Source organism: Homo sapiens, chromosome 6 (assembly GCF_000001405.40).
Source record: "Homo sapiens chromosome 6, GRCh38.p14 Primary Assembly".
Classification (NCBI taxonomy): domain Eukaryota; kingdom Metazoa; phylum Chordata; class Mammalia; order Primates; family Hominidae; genus Homo; species Homo sapiens.
The window spans coordinates 25,403,770-25,419,887 of NC_000006.12; the positions used below are offsets into that span (position 1 = coordinate 25,403,770).

The 16,118-nt window shown below is 42.3% G+C and overlaps 1 protein-coding gene and 1 long non-coding RNA gene across 22 annotated transcripts in view, besides 1 other annotated feature; one reads left to right on the forward strand and one right to left on the reverse strand.

Moving 5' to 3' along the window:
* The window catches only part of CARMIL1 (capping protein regulator and myosin 1 linker 1), a 341,157-nt gene that overhangs the window by 124,396 nt on the left and 200,643 nt on the right, over positions 1-16,118 (forward strand). The window lies entirely within an intron of this gene.
* The window catches only part of LOC124901281 (uncharacterized), a 124,485-nt gene that overhangs the window by 76,064 nt on the left and 32,303 nt on the right, over positions 1-16,118 (reverse strand). The window lies entirely within an intron of this gene.
* Positions 979-1,188: an enhancer, noted in NCBI's record as "active region_24169". NCBI's record gives its function as "activates an Ori minimal core promoter by ATAC-STARR-seq in GM12878 lymphoblastoid cells {active_cell/tissue: GM12878}" and the evidence as "EXISTENCE:reporter gene assay evidence [ECO:0000049][PMID:35858748]".

The following is a 16,118-nucleotide window of genomic DNA, read 5'->3' on the forward strand; positions in this document are numbered from 1 at the left end:
TAACCCCCAGGCATTAAGCACGCTCTATTCTCTTTTTGTACTACATTTTTCTCCATAGCACTTATCACCATAGATATGCCATATGTTTTACTTATTTATTCCTGTATAATCTCCTTTGAATGAAATATAAGCTGCTTGAAGGCAGAGCTTTATGTCTTTTTATCCTTGGTGCCTACCACAAGGTAGGCAGTCAGTAATTATTGGTTGAAAGAATTACTCAAATATTTAATGACAGTGTTTGTAAACAAAGAGTGCTAATCTAATTGAAATTCATTTTAGCAAGAGATAGAGAGTCAGGAAGACACATCCTCTGGTGTAACCCTGCCTCCCCTCCACTTCTAAGATTACTCTGGTTTTAGGCTCTGCTTTCTGCCTGGCTCAACAAGGGGCCTCCATTTCTCTCCTGCCTGCACTTGAGGAGCCACATAGAAGGGAGTTTGAACCAGGGCTTCAGGGAGTTGTCTGTGGACAGCTTCTGAGAGAGGGAAGTTGGGGCTTCCCATGTTGGCTGGTCCCTTTGCTGGCTGGCCAGTCCTTTGTCACCATGCCAGCATTCTCAATGGAGGCAAGAAGGGATCTTATGGGTTTTGCAGCAGGGCTGCTTTGGGTATATGTTTGTTTGAACGGGGTAGGGACAGTGGATGAAGGACCCACCTGGAGTTTGCTGCCTTGGGAGGGGAGGTGATGAGCTTTAAACATAATAGAGGCTGGGCGCGGTGGCTCATGCCTATAATCCCAGCACTTTGGGAGGATGAGGTGGGCGGATCACCTGAGGTCGGGAGTTTGAGACCAGCCTGGCCAACATGGTAAAACCCATCTCTACTAAAAATACAAAAATTAGCCAGGCATGGTGGCACACACCTGTAGTCCCAGCTACTGAGGAGGCTGATTCACAAGAATCGCTTGAACCCGGGAGGCAGAGGTTGCAGCGAGCCGAGATCTTACCACTGCACTCCAGCCTGGGTGACAGAGTGAGACTTCGTCTTAAAAAAAAAAAAAAAAATAGAGGTGCAGTGTTCCCTGCTTCACACTAGGAAGTGGTTAATGCCAAACTGGGGCACCCGGCCTGTTTCTGGCAAAGTGCAGGGGAAAGGAAAGCTTGGAAAGGGATCTGTAGCAGTAAAGACAGAGGAGTCACTTTTTGTTTGTTGGTTCCCACTGAGGCACGGCGGAGGAGGCACAGCTGTGCAGAGATCCTGGGTTGCTAATTTCTACATTAAAAGGTGTAGCAGCAGCAGTGTTTATGACTAAACCCGTCAACGTTTCACTTCCTCCTGTTGTGAAGACTGGGTTTGGCTTAAAAAGCTCTGCCTGAACTTTCAGTTTATCTTGAAACTTTGAGACATTTGTCAAAGTGCTGAATGGAGTTATTTTAGTAAATCAGTGATGTTTCTGTGTTCCCTGAGTGAAACACTAGCTGATCTCATTTACCTGAGCTTCGAGAAAGAAAATATTCTCTATTTTTAAAAATAGCTTTGCTCCCTTGAGCATGCCCTTTCTATATGCCCTGGCTTTAGAAGATGGGCTGCCTTATGTTTGAGATTTTTTATTCATTGCCACTAAAATAATATATGGTGATTTGTATACCTCATATAAGGTCTGCCTCATCAGTACCCTGACCCATCCTTTATTGATTATTTAGTTTTGTGGATTTAACCCTGTAGTCCTGTTGGCACAATCAAGGGCAAAATCAAGATCCAGAAAGACATCAGATACCTGAAATCCTTTATTAAAGTGGATTTTGCTTACCCTACATCCATTGTTAGAAATGACATTCCCAGATCGTAAGAGCTGCAGAATTCTGGAACTGAAACTCTGTCTTTCTGTAATGAATTTGTGAATGAGGAAGTTCTTTGAACACAGTAGGCAAAAGGCAGGGGTGTCAGCACTTGACACTTCTATGCCTTTCCTCTACTAGGCTATCTTTTTATTGTTCTATTTCTTTTCCTTTTGGCAGGTGAGTTGGGAATTAGCTAGTAGATCTGTTTTAAGTGGGTAAGCTGCAAACAACAGATTTTTAGGTACTTCCCTTATAGGATATGGCTATTAAACAGGAAGGATGTGTCAATTATGTGGTAGGCAGCAGGATAAAACAGGCAGGACAGAATTATTATCAGATTCACAGACCGTAGCAACTTTTTGCCTTCTAAAATCCTGAATTTTCAGAGGTGGAAATAGGGTGAGAAGGAGCAGTAAAACCTGTTGCATTCATTCACTCAACAGATATTTGAACACCTATTTTGTGCCAGGAATGTACTGGGCACTGAGAAATAGAGCTTTGAATAGGACAGATGTGGTCCCTGCTCCCAGGCACCTTGCAGTCTAATGGGGCTGGTAGATATTAAATATGTAATCCCACTGTTAATTAAAACTGTGATAAGTATTCATAAGAAAATGTGCAAATACGGTGGGAGTATATAATAGGGAGACCTGGTGTAGTCTGGACTTTCTTAGGGAAGTCCTTTACCTGAAGAATGAGTAGGCATGAGCCAGGTGAAGGTAAAGCAAGAGGGGGAAGGGATAGCTCCTAAAGCAGAGGTGGGGCAGGAGCCCTCCTCTTGGGAGAGCAACAGAAGGCCAGTGTGGCTGGGTTGAAGTGAGGCTGGAGGTGGAGGCAGGGGCCAGTGTAGTGGTGCAGAGCCACTGAAGAGCTTAAGCAGAGAAGGGACATAATAATGTTTGGGTTCTTAAAAGATCACGTTCAGATCCTATATGAGCAGGTGATTTGAGGGGGCAGGAGTGGATCTGTTAGAAGGCTATTGCAAGTGGTCCAGGAGCAAGAGGGTGGTGGCTTGGAATAGTATCATAGTAGTAGAGATGGAGAGAAGTGAATGGATGTAAGAGGTATTTAGGGAGGTAGACTGCATTGAACTTGGAGAATGACTAAGATAGGAAGAGAAGGGGACAATGCTTGGATTTCTGGCTTTGGAAACCATATGGATGACCATCCTTGTTCCTGAGCCAGACCTATTGTGGGAAGGGCAGATTTTGAAAGAAAGATCATGGTTTAGTTGTTGACATGCTGAATTTAAGGGTTGGAGTACATACAAGTGAAGTTAGATCAATAGATCTGATGATCGGAGGGGAGATCTGGGCTGTGCATAAAGTTGGGAGTCATCTGGGATGGACTGAAGTCATGAGAGAGAATGAATGGTAGCAGGGAATGGGGATTGGACATGTGACTAGGAATAACCACAGAGGCCAGTTGAAAATGTATGGAAACGAGAACATCAAGCATGAAGGGCCATGCCCAGTGCTAAGGAGAAATCTGGTTAGGAAGTGCATGGATTTAGCAGCCGTGAGGTTGGATTTAGCAATCAAGATTGGCACCTCAAGCAGGAGAAATTTAAGTGGAGTTGTGGGGACAGAAGCCAATTTTGAACACTAGATGAGTGAATTGGAGGCAGGAATATGAAGACACTGAGTATGGGTACCTTTTTTGAGAAGTTGGGCTCAAAGGGTAGAGACAGTTAGAGGGGACCTGCAAGAGGTGTGTAGGATCCAGGCATATAGCTCTAGGTCTAAACATCTCTATGTTTGGATATTTAGAGATGGAAGAGAAAGGATATTTAGTTGCTTAAGGTTCCTGCAAAGACAGGTGGGATGTAACCCAGAGCCCACACGAAGGGACGGGCATTTATCTCCAGCACTTCAGAAGGAGAGGAAGAGGAGGGGGTGGGTACAGCTGCAGATGCAGGCAGGTGTGGAGGTTTGGAGTGGAATGGTAAGTGATACCATTCTGATAATTTCTGTTTTCTCTGTGAAGTAGGAGGGAAAGTCATCTTCCCAGATGAAGGGAACGGAATCAGGTTGCTGGGTAAGATCAGTTCTCCAGCTGTGCTTGGCAGCTACCACTGCAAGCATGGAATAGGCGGCTAGGTAAGTTCAGCCAAGATTGAAGTTTTACTCTGTGGGAGTAATAAAAGGACAAGGAACACGAAGGCTAAGGACATTAACACATGGAGGAATGATTTCAGTGGAGGTTCAGTTGGATGAAGATAGGTTAGTGCTGATGGAGAATGACCTGGCAGTGTCAGGGGGCAATAAACAGGGTAGTGGTAGTACCTGAATAAGGGAACTAGCTATGAGTGCTTCTCCAACTGTAATGCTAATGTGAATCACCTGGGGATTTTAGTAAAAACGCAGATTCTGATTCAGCAGGTCTGGGCTGAGGCCTCAGATTCTGCATTTCTAACAAGTTCCTGTCACGCCAGCCTCTCTGGCCCGTGGATCACACTGTGAGGGCCAGGTGTGGTGGTGCATGACTATAATCCAAACACTTTGTGAGGCCCAGGTGGGAGGATCACTTGAGCTGAGGAGTTTGAGACCAGCCTGGGCAACATAGACGTCATCTCTACAAAAAGTTTAAAAATTACCTGGGTGTGGTGGCTTGTGCCTGTAGTAGCTACTTGAAAAGCTGAGGCAGGAGGATCACCTGAGCCTGGGAGGTCAAGGCTGCAGTGAGCCGAGATTGCACCACTGCACTCCAGCCCGGGTGACAGTAAAAGCCTGTCTCTTAAAATAAAAAAAAAAAAAAAAAAAAAAGATTTCGGGCAGAGAGTGGGATGCCTGAATTAGAAATCGTTTGACATGGTATAATCTCAAGCAGTAACTAACATGGCCCAGGATATGACAGAGTGAACAAGAAGGCCGAAGAATTCAAAGGCTTCCTGATCATCATATCTTTAGGGATGCAATGATTTACACTGACTATCGCCAACACTTTTCTAAGCACCTTGTGTGTATTACCTTCTTTAATCCTTATGACAACCTCCAGTGAGGTATATATTGTGATCCCATATTTTACAGATGAGGAAAGTAAGGCACACAGAGGTCTTTCTCAAAATCATTCGTGCTTGTAAGTGGTGGGACCAGAATTCAAACTGGGGTGGTACAGTTTCAAAGCCTAGTGCTCTGCATGATTGGATGCTGTATTGTCCCCTGATGAGAGAAGTTGGGGCTGTATAGAAAGTGTGAGGTGGGAGGATCATTTGATCCCAGGAGTTAAGACCGGCCTGGGCAATGTAGTGAGACCCTGTCTCTACATAAAATAGAAAAAAAAAAAAAAAGATTTTGAGCCAGGTATTAGCCTCACCTATGAATGAAGTTCAGCATATCTAGGAGAGTGCTAGGCACAGTACTTGTAGGCTTTTTACATGTTACCCCTTTAATCCCCACAACTGTCCAACAGAGTCTATTTCATACTGATTCTACAGGTAAGAAAAATAAAATTTAGGAGGTTAGGTAGTTGATAAATGGAGGAGTTGGTAATTTGATCTAAATTGGTCTGGATTCAAAGCCCATTCTTCCTTTATATCAAAGTTTATCCCATCACCATATAGAAATGGAAATTCTCTTCTAATTCTTAAATAGGTTATAGTTACCATGGGAGTATTCTCCCCCTTGCTCTGACTCAAGCCACATGCTGAAGATGATGTGTTACGAATAAGGCTGAGACCAGGAGACTGGGCTTCTGGGCTCAGCTCTGTTTCTAACTAGCAAGTTTGCACACTGTCTCTGTAGGTCTCACACCTTTGTCCCTGTGGATCATTTTCAGAGCTATATTCTATAAGTTTGAGGACAATTATTATGGCTCCTTTTATATTAGTATCTACTGTATGCTCAGCACTTGATAGGTTATCTCTAGTACTTAAACTAGGATACAGATTGTCTCCAATTTAGAAGTGAAAAAGCTGAGGCCTGGAGATTTCAAGCAACATGCCTAATACCTCTCAGTCCACAAAATGGCAAAGCTGAGATTTCGCCTGAAGTGTGTCTGACTCTAAAGCTCATGTTCTTGCCATCTTACCAGCTGCCTCATCCTCATCTATAGCCTCATGGTGGATCCCGCTTACAGGTGCATATGGTACCGTATGCTAGTATTTATCAAACTTTCAAAACCTGGATCCAGAGTAAAACATGCATTTTATATTGATTTCGAGAATTGTGCACACACACACACATTTGCATGCGAGTACCATGTATATACTGACATCACTCAAACAAGTTTTGTGAAATAATGCTCATGTTTTCTACTTGCTGTGCCTTGGCTTTCTTTTCCTTTTCACTTTGGTTTAGTCTGTCATATTAATATGCTCATTAAACTCTGATGAATTGATTTAACTACCCACCAATGGGTTGTAGCCCTCAGTTTGAGAAGCACCGCTGTAAATTATATACCTACCTTAATTTCTTGATAGGATTACCCCAAATCTTATATTCTCCTTCTTTCCTTATTTTTTATTCTCTGAATTTAATGAAGACTATTTCTCTGATTATATATGTAATGGTGTTAAATCTAAATCAACCCCCCCCGCCCCCCGCCGCCATATGGCAACCACCTTTCTGCAAAGTGGGAAACTATCTTATAACTTTGTTCTGAGAGAAGGAAAGAAAATATGTATTTTTTTCATTTGATGAAAATGCTAATATAACAAGGGAGGGAGAAAGAAGTGACATTTGTGTTTCCTTGGCTTGAGAAGATGAGAATGTAAGGCCAAGAAACACAGACAAGTTGAAATGATGTAGGCTGGGGAGGGACTGCGGCAATAGACTTACAGTAAAAGAAAAGTGAAACTGATTTCTTGTTCCAACTCTTCCATTTAGCATTTATTGGACTCCTTCATGTGCCAGGTACTTGTGTTTTGCATGTATTATCTCAGGTGAGGAGACAGAGGTATGGGAGGCTGAGTTACCTGCCCAAGATTGCATGGTTGGTAGAGAGTGGTCTAGCAGACTCCCTGGAGCCAGTGCTCGTTGTCACTAGGCCATAGCTGCCACTTGTCTCAACTTTTGAGTAATTCTGTGTGGTCTTTATTTGGTGCCAGGCCCAGGAGGGGACTTTTGCGCCCTAGGCTTTGAATCTTGAGAGGGAACATGCTAGGGTGGAAGATTGGAGTCAATTTGTTCCACGAGGGCAGCCAGAGGAACTCCTTATTAGTCCCTGCTTCTCCCATCTTTAGAGTTGATTTGGTTTCTGTCTCTACTGAGTTCTGGTTGTTCTTTTGATTACAAGAACTACTCAATTTCCTTTAAGTAAATTTATTTATTCTTAAAATTCTGTTGCTTGAAACTAAGAATAAGCCCTAATAGGCACAGAGGAATAATTTAACTCTTCCTGATCTGTTTCCTCATCTGTAAAATAAAGGAAAAGGGCACACATATCCCCTGACCCCTCTTAACTCTCTCATCTTTAGCTAGAATTGGGTTCTAGTGATTCTCAAATGGATGTGTTCTAAAAGAGGCTGGCTGGCCCTGTGTTGGGGAAGCAGAAGTTTTAGTAATTAATTAGGTTAATATGAACTTTATAGTTATATTTTTTCTGTATTCCCTGAATAACTGTGACTCTATTACTTGTGAATTTATTTAAAACATAAATATGACAGTGATGACTAGATGAGGTCTCTTAGCACACATGCCCTATGCAGACCTGTGAGTCCCCTGCTGTCTGCTCACCCAATAGTTGAGGGCCTGGGTAGGAGTTCTGCCACATGTGAGTTCTTAACACAAAATCCTCATGGACCCTGTGGGCCTGGAGCTGGATACTTCACTCATCTTCACCCTTGGCCTCATGCTAAGAATTACCATCCTGCCACCACTTAAAGATGCCCATTCATGTTAGTGTGTCACTGCTAAAGTACTGTCATTAAAGAAGACCTATCATTACTCTGACTTTAAAATACATTGTTCTAACAGAATCACTATGGGAGATTCCAGACTTCTGTATCAGCGGGTGCTTTGAAAAGAGGATCTGATATGTACTGGCCCCTGTGTTCACCTGTGGGCGAACATTAGACATGTTTGTTTCTTTTATGCTTTGATAACACCTTACAACTTGCAATAGTGTGACTTTGGAAAGAATGAAGTGATTGTGTCTGGCATGCTGTATGTAAACATTCCATTTCTACATAATGTGAAAAGGAATGAATTAGGTGAAAATAAATGGATTTGCACAGGTGTTAGAGTACGTAGATTTCCTCTGAAACTAAACATCCGAATAGAAAACGAAACTCAGTGACTTCTTGACCGCCTATTGAAGAAGCACCTGTTGGTCCAGGGAGCAGAGATCTAAGGGGGAATTAATTCCTCTCAGCAAATATTTACCGGGGGCTTGTCATTCCTAGAAGTCCACCCAAAAAGAGTGGGGCTGGAGGAGAATCCCAGAGAGAGTCTAAGTCATGGGCTCAGAGTGTAGGGAAGTGACTTTGAGACCTGTTCCAACCAAACCTCTTATTTTAAATTTGGGTAAAATAAGGTCTCTAGAGATTGTAACTTGTTCATGGTTAGGCCACTTGGCTAACTTGAGGCCAGACTCAGGCTAAATCTGGATAACTCTCTTCTTGGTTTACTACTATTATAGACCTAAAATTTTATTATGATATTAAAATGTAAATAACAGTAACAGACACCATGTAGCAATTCTCATGTGCCAGCACTCTTCTGAGCACTTTAGGTGTATTAACTCATTTAACCCTCATCATTCCATGAAGTGTAAATATTTCTCTCATTTTTAAAGAGAAGAGAGCCTGGTGCAGTGGCTTGATGGCCCATGCCAATAATCCCAGTCCTTTGGGAGGCCGAGCTGGGAGGATTGCTTGAGGCTACGAGTTTGGGACCAGCCTGGGAAACATGGCAATACCCCATCTCTGTAAAAAATTAAAAACTAGCTGGGCATGGTGGCACATGCTTGTAATCCCAGCTACTCCGGAGGCTGAGACCAGAGGATTACTTAAGCCCAGGAAGTCTAGGCTGCAGTGAGCTGTGATCGCTCCACTGCACCCTAGGTGACAGAGTGAGACCCTATATCTTAAAGAGAAAAGGAGGAAATTGAGGCACAGGAAAGGTTTAGTAATTTGCTCTTAGCCATGTATATATTAAATAATGGAGCTTGGTTTCAAACCCAGGCAGTCTAAATCTACAATTTATTCTCTAAACCACTAGACCAGGGGTCAGTAACCATATCTTGGGCTTTATGAGCCATAAAACTCTATGTGGGGTAGTGGGAAGAGGCTGGGTTTGACTTATAAGCTGTAGTTTGCAAACCCTACACTAGGCTGTATAGCCTCACTGGGGCACATCCATTAATATCAATGTATCCCACAGCTGCCCATGAAGAGTGAAGCTCTAATTTTGAAAAGGATTTTAAGTCAGGAATTAAATTAAAATGTACTTTTTTGGTGTTCCTTTTGGGTGAAGTGTCCTCCTGCCAGGAAGGATGATGTTCATCATAGCTGAGTATAGTGTTAGGAGGCTCAGAGCCAGGAGAGAGGTTTTATTCTCCTTCAGTTTTCTGGGTGACCTTGCAAAAGTCCCTTATCATCTGCCACTTATAACTCTGCAGTGGTGATAATGTGCCTCACCACCTGCCCTTCTCCCTCACCTAGGTATATGTCTTGGATTAATGAGGTTTTATCTGTAACGTACTTAGAGCTGGGAGTTTGGAAGGGGAAAGTATTAAGAGGGGGAATGATGGCATTCATCATTTAGTTTGCTTGCAAATTAGAGAGTGCTTCAAGGGTGTAAGACCATTTGTTGAATGTTTGGCACGTAGAGCCCAATTTTAAAGAAAAGGCACTCCTGGTAATCTGCATGAGAGAATGTGGATTTAGAGAGCATGAATTTATGGATTGCCTGTGCTGCAGTAGGCTTTAGGCCATGGAGTTATTTAAGATGGTATGTATTTATTTCAGTTTCTAATAAGTGTGCAATGAGCAGATTCCATAGTTGACCTCCATATCTCCATAAGAAAACATAGGCTTCTCTGCTAAACTGTGAGTCTTAACAGTAAGGAGGACTTATAAATGTTTCTAAGTGAAATTATGAAGTTAAAAGTTGAACCAAGAAGCCTCAGAGGGAACTGGCTGCTACTTGCATTTCAATGAAAGGCAGAGGAAATTCATTACAGAGGTTGAAAATGTGGTTTGCATGTTAAGGCTGCAGTGGAAAAATGGGCCTTCCCAGGGGAGGTGGGAGGGAAGTTGTAGCTTACCCTTTGTGGTGAAGGTTCCTTGGCTAAGCACATATACTCCATCTGATGCACCCTAATTTTTTTTTTAACTTTGCAAGAAAATTCTTCCCTTCAAAGCCAAAGATGTGCATTGAACAGAAAATTGCAGCCTAGGAGAAGTTTCAATATCTTTGTATTTTTTGTTTGTTTTGTTCTTTTGACAAAAACAATTATTAAAAAATTCAGTAGGTGAAGCAACTTAATCTTACTTTGTGAAACTAAATCTAAGATGCTATTAGTTAAGTTATAAGAAGAGCTGGTGTTTAGCAAAGGCATATTAGGTTCTGGGGTAGGGCTTTATCTGCATTTGTATCTTATTTAATCCACACAACAGTAACAGTCCTGCAGAGGAATATTCTTGTTTGAGCATCTCTTGTATGAGGCACCTCAGTTTGCTCATCTGTAATTCTGTAATCTCTAACTCTCTAGAGATAACAAAAGTCTATCAGGTTTAAGTGGCAGAGCCAGAATCTGAATATAAGTCTTTCTGATTCCAAAATTCAAGCTAGTAGATTGACCAACAGTCCCAGTTTTCTGGGATGCAGGATTCTCAGCCCTGAAACTAGAAACGTCTTATACAAACAGAAAGAGTTGGTCACCCTACAAGCAGGATGCCTCCCATCCCAGGCACTGAAGAAGTATTCATTATCAGGAAACCCTTTTTGGTAAGTCACAGAGGATGTGTCCTGTGCAACTGCCCCTGACTCTGCTAGAAACCATGTGTGTGTACTATAAATCCTCTGAAGCTTTAAATCCTAGGGCAGTTTTGGAGCCAAACAGAGAGGCTGGGAGACTGAGTTCATTGGGATTTCTAGTATGAATGTAGCCCCATTAATTGGCTCGGTTTGTGTTGATAAAACAAGAGTCACAATCTGACTTGTAACAGTAGTATTTGTAATTTTCATTCTTGCTTTAAAATATTGCTGCCCTGTTGTACCCACAAGTGGGTACAGTTTTGGGAAAGCTTGGAAGATTTCCTCTATTCCAACCCCCATCCCCTTCCACATTTTCTGTGAACTCTCTGTGTCTCTGGAGGCTTTCACTGACCACCAGAAATGGGGACCATCCTGCACAAAGCTTTTGTAGCTTATCAGTCTTCCTTCAAAGCCTGGGCTCCCTTATGAATGTGTTTCTTTTCAGACAAATTATTTTGATCTGTATCCAACTTCTGAAGGACACTGTGTACTTCCACTGCCTGTAAAATACTTTTAAAGAAAGGGAGTTGACACAGAGGGCCACAGATTGTGAACCTTATTATTGCTGGGGTGAAGGTAGAAATGATCATTAGATCCTCATGTATCTACCTGTAGTTACAAAATTAATCTTTACTCAAAAGATGAATCCATATGAACATTCTGGTTTCTTTTTTCTACTCTTTTTTTTTCTATTTCATTTTTTATTTTTAGAGATGGGGTCTTGCTCTGTCACCCAGGCTGGGGTGCAGTGGCACCATCGTAGCTCACTGTAACCTCGAACTCTTGGACTCAAGAGATCCTCCCACCTCAGCCTCCTGAGTAGTTGGGACTACAGGTATGAGCCACCACACCCAGCTCTCCTCTTGTTTTAAATATTCTGACCCTAGTTCATACCCTGTCAGTGGCCTCTAGAAACTTCCTATGGTGACTGTTCTGGAAAGGGCAAGTCAAGAGAAGACAAGCAGGTCACCTGACTCCCTCCCTCTTCCTCTCCCCACCCCCCACCCCCACTCCCCCACTGGTAGTGGGAGCGTTATTCCCTAAAGTGCAACAATTGTCAAAGGATGGAATGGCTGGCTGGTTCCTTGTGTTAGTGATTGCTGTTGTATTTCAGTTGTTTGGGTGCATGTTTGAGATTAGTTTTTAAGACTTATTAATTAGATTCACACAGGGGACGTTGTAATCACTTAATAGCCAATATGCTCATTGTATAATGATGTCAAAAGGTGTCTAATTATTTTTGGTTCATACTTTGTTCACGTTTTTCTGTAACTGTGTTACAAATGAAATACTTTTCTAGAATGCATTCTTTCTTCTGTGATTGGTGTCTATTGTCTTGCAAAAGGAATAAATAAAGTAACAAGTTCTCAAGTGATTCTCATGGAGAAGGGGCTGGGGAATGGAGGGCAGAATGAAGGCAGGGGAGGAGCGCACCAGAAGAGGGAAAGGAGATGGAGCAAGACGGGGTGGAGTGTGGGGGACACTGGCAGCAGTAGCAGAGAGAGGGGTCAGAGGAGGGGTGGGGAGCCAGTGAGGAGAGGCACAGATAGACTGAGAGGTACATACGTAGAATCATGTAGACAGATACAGAACAGAGATAAGAGAGAAATTCAGAGACACAGAGACTAACAGATGATGGCGGTGCATAGAAAGAGACAGAAGGAGACACGCAGACCAGTAGGGATTGGTCCTTTTCCTTATGATATCCAAACATCTCTCATTGTACTGCTGGTCATTTTACGTGTTTGCTTCTTTCTGGCTTTAAAGCTCCATGACTCATCTATGTTTCCATGTGTGTGGACTATTGAGGAATCTGTTTTTTGGAAAGGTGAGCTTTGACAGCCAGTATAAGTCATTAGGAACACCATCTCTGGAACCAGACCATCCAGGCTCAAATCCCAACTGCCACCTACTTGCTGGATGACCTGCACAAATTACATAATCTCCATGTGCCTCTGTTTCTTCATCTTAAAATGGGGATTATAATAGTGTTTTCCTTATAGGGTGCTGTGAGGATTAAATGTGGTAACATATACAAACCTATTAGAACAGTGTACTCAACAGGTACTGGCAATTATTACTATGTTTGTGAAAGGATCCTGAATTCCTTTGAAGGAAAGTTCACAGTTAAATATATTTTTATGAATACTGAAGAGGCTACAAGTTCCTGTCTTTGACTTTTGGCCTTGAACCTTACTTTTAATGTAAGGTGAGAGTGGAGAGTTAATAGACTGAGAGTGAGGAGTTGCAGCTTCTAGTTCCAGCTCTGCCACTGACTAGCTGTGAGATGATGAGTTTCTCTGGACCTGCTGTCAGATAATATACAAACTCAGGGAATTTTAGGTCTTTGACAATGTGATGTTGAGACCTTTCTGGCATACGAGTTTTAGGATTTGTCTGTTATTTTACCTCTATGCAGAGGTTTTGTGGACCTAAGCTTTTTGGAAAGATTGGGGATTGATCATACCAGTACCCCTGGGAGAGAGAAATGTGTGTGCTGCTTTGTAAATAATAAAAAGGGAGAAATGGTGAGAATAGGGGACTGGCTTCCTATAGCCATGCTTATGATCATGGTTGTCAGCATTATTATCTTATTTCTTTTTCTTTTCCACTCTGGGGGAGGAGCAGTATTTGAAAGAGGGGTCATATCCTGGGGCTAAACTGGAGTAGAAGGTGCTGGATGCACTGTGGAGCTTAGTTCAGAGAAGGTGAATATTTCATCCTGTAAGATGAGTTCTAATCTTGTATTCCGCTCCCCAGACCTAGGCAAATGGCAGTGCAAGCCAAGCGTATCTCTGGTGCCTTTTATCTCCCTTTCCAAATTCCTCTTTATTACTGTCATGCTTCTTTTGATTATCTGATGCCTGTTATCCAACCCTGTGTGTCTCATGCAACAAAATGATCTCCTGCCCTTTTGCAAAAGGCCTGCAAACTCTTAATTCCCTGAGTACTGCTGTATTAGCCAAAGATTAACTAGTGCTGATGACAGAAGAGTTCAGCTCTCCAGGGCATACTTGGATTTAAAAAGAGCATTTTGAAAACTGTTGGAATGTTGAAAAAGGTACTCCTTCAAGCTGAGAGCTTTGTGGATCTCTTCCAGTCATGGCTGCCCTGGGCTATCCCTTCCTACCTTCACGGTAACTGATCTTCCAGGGGCTAGAGCACGAGGAGGCAGGATTGAGTAGTAACATATAAATATAGCCTGGTGGTTAAGAACATTGGTTTTGGTGTTAACAAAGCTGTAAGATTTAAATTATACTCTTCTTAAGGACCTTTTGAACTCTGATGCTTTTATAAACGATTTCTGCTCTAATTGAATGACCTTGAAGTGAGTTCATCACTGAGTCTCAATTTACTCATTTGAAAAATGGGAATAATGACATCAAATATAGTTGTTGTGAGGATTAAGTGTGCCACTCTCCTCAAAGATATTCACCTATTCATGGCACATAGAAAATGCTCGACAAAGAGTAGCAACGCTTAGGGACAGCTTTTATGGCTTGCAATCTGTACAGTTGCACAGGACACATCCACCAGGGGCTAGAGCACAAGGAGGCACGATTGAGTAATAACATGTAGACATATTGTGGTGGTTAAGGACACAGGCTTTGGCATTAACAGGTAAATGCAGCCAGAAAGTGGCAGAGCCAGAATCTGAATGTAAGTCTTTCTGATTCCAAAATTCAAGCTAGTAGGTTGACCAACAGTCCCAGTTTCCCGGGATGCAGGATTCTCAGCCCTGAAACTGGAAACACCTTGTGCAAACAGAAAGAGCTGGACACCCTACAAGCAGGATGCCTTCCATCCCAAGCATGTGAATTCTGTTTCTCCCCTAATTATATGACCTTGAAACGAGTTCATCATTTCCCTGCATTGGGTTAATGCCTTATTGTTATCGTCTTGAAATTCTTAATCATATTTGAACAATGTCCCTACAGATTATGTAGCCAGTCTTGCTACTACCGAGCTGCACTTGACCTCCCCGCACTCATCCTGGCCATACTTCATCCCTGTCCCTCTCCTTTCTACTGCCTGGTGCTTTGTCCCATTTCCTTGCCCCCAAGGCCTTAGGAGGGTGTAAAAAAAAAAAAAGATAAATTCCTCAGGGAAAAGATGTGATTTGGCTCACAGCATATGGAATATTCAAAGATAGACATCATCTGTTGCCCACATTTTTATGAGACTGACATGCTGCCTGTAGCATTGAGAAGGCACTGGTTGCCTACACTTTTAGAAGTCATTTATTAATGGCTTCCTAGGGCATGCCAACTCTAAAATCAAGCCACAAAAATGATACCAGGTAAAAATTGATCCTGTGAATAACTGTGACGGTGGCATTTGGGTGAAAGGTCTTGAAATGGGCTGTGTCTTTTCCCTCAACTTTCCTCACCCGCTTTTATCACACTCTCCCAGCCAGTGTCAGATTACTTCTCTTCTCATCTGTCTCATAAATAGTTCTGGCTTGAGTTATCCCCTACCGTGATGACATATGATTATTCAAAGAAAGATTTTATAGAAAATGCATTGTTTCTATTTGGAGTTGGGAGACTAGGGAAAGGTATAAAGCACGCCACAGGGGCACAGCCTTGATTGACTTTCTGTGCTCAGCTTAGCCGTTCAAGCCCGGGGTTGTGTCTGGGTAAAGCTGTTTGACTTTGGGTAAGTCCTTTAACAACCTGAGGTCCCAGTGTTCTTAACTTTCTACAGTTTTGTTCTAATCCAGCATTCTTGAACTAGCACATAAGCATAACTTGCTAAATAAGCACCACTTGCTAAATACAGGCTTAGTGACAAGGAAGTTATTTGGAAAATGAAAAGAGGGCAATTCTCCCATCAGGACTTGAGAAGCCTTGGAGTTTTCTTTCTTTATTGAAAAGACTCATGAGGCCTGTCCAAATCTCAAAGTTGCAGAGTGGAAAGTTTTGTAGTAAGCTTCATGGATGTGGGATCCTGGCTCAAGATCTGAACTCCTAGCTCAGCCCCTTAGTATTCATGAGGGCCTCTGCTAAGTAAAAGGAACCTATAGGCATATGGGACCCCACAGGCTGTATGTATGTTCTTAGCTGAGTATCAAAAAGGAAACTTCCATAAATGTTCTAAGACTGAGAGAGGCACAGCTGAGAAGCAAAGTTAGGGATGATTTTTTGGAAGCTTAGCCTGATTTTGCTCTGTGCATTATATAAATGTTAGCTGGAGTACAAAGAATGGAAAGCAAGAGGGCAAAGGTGGGAGGTGTTTGTAATTTGGGAAGTGCAAATGAGTACTTAGTTGTTGTTTTTTTTCCATTAAGTTTGCTGTTGATATAGTGAGACTTGTGACTATGTATCTTATGCATTTTAGTATCACAGAGACCTGTTTTACTTAATCTGAATAATCTGTTGGGTTTTTGGGCTGCTGACAGATTTCTCATCTTGAGA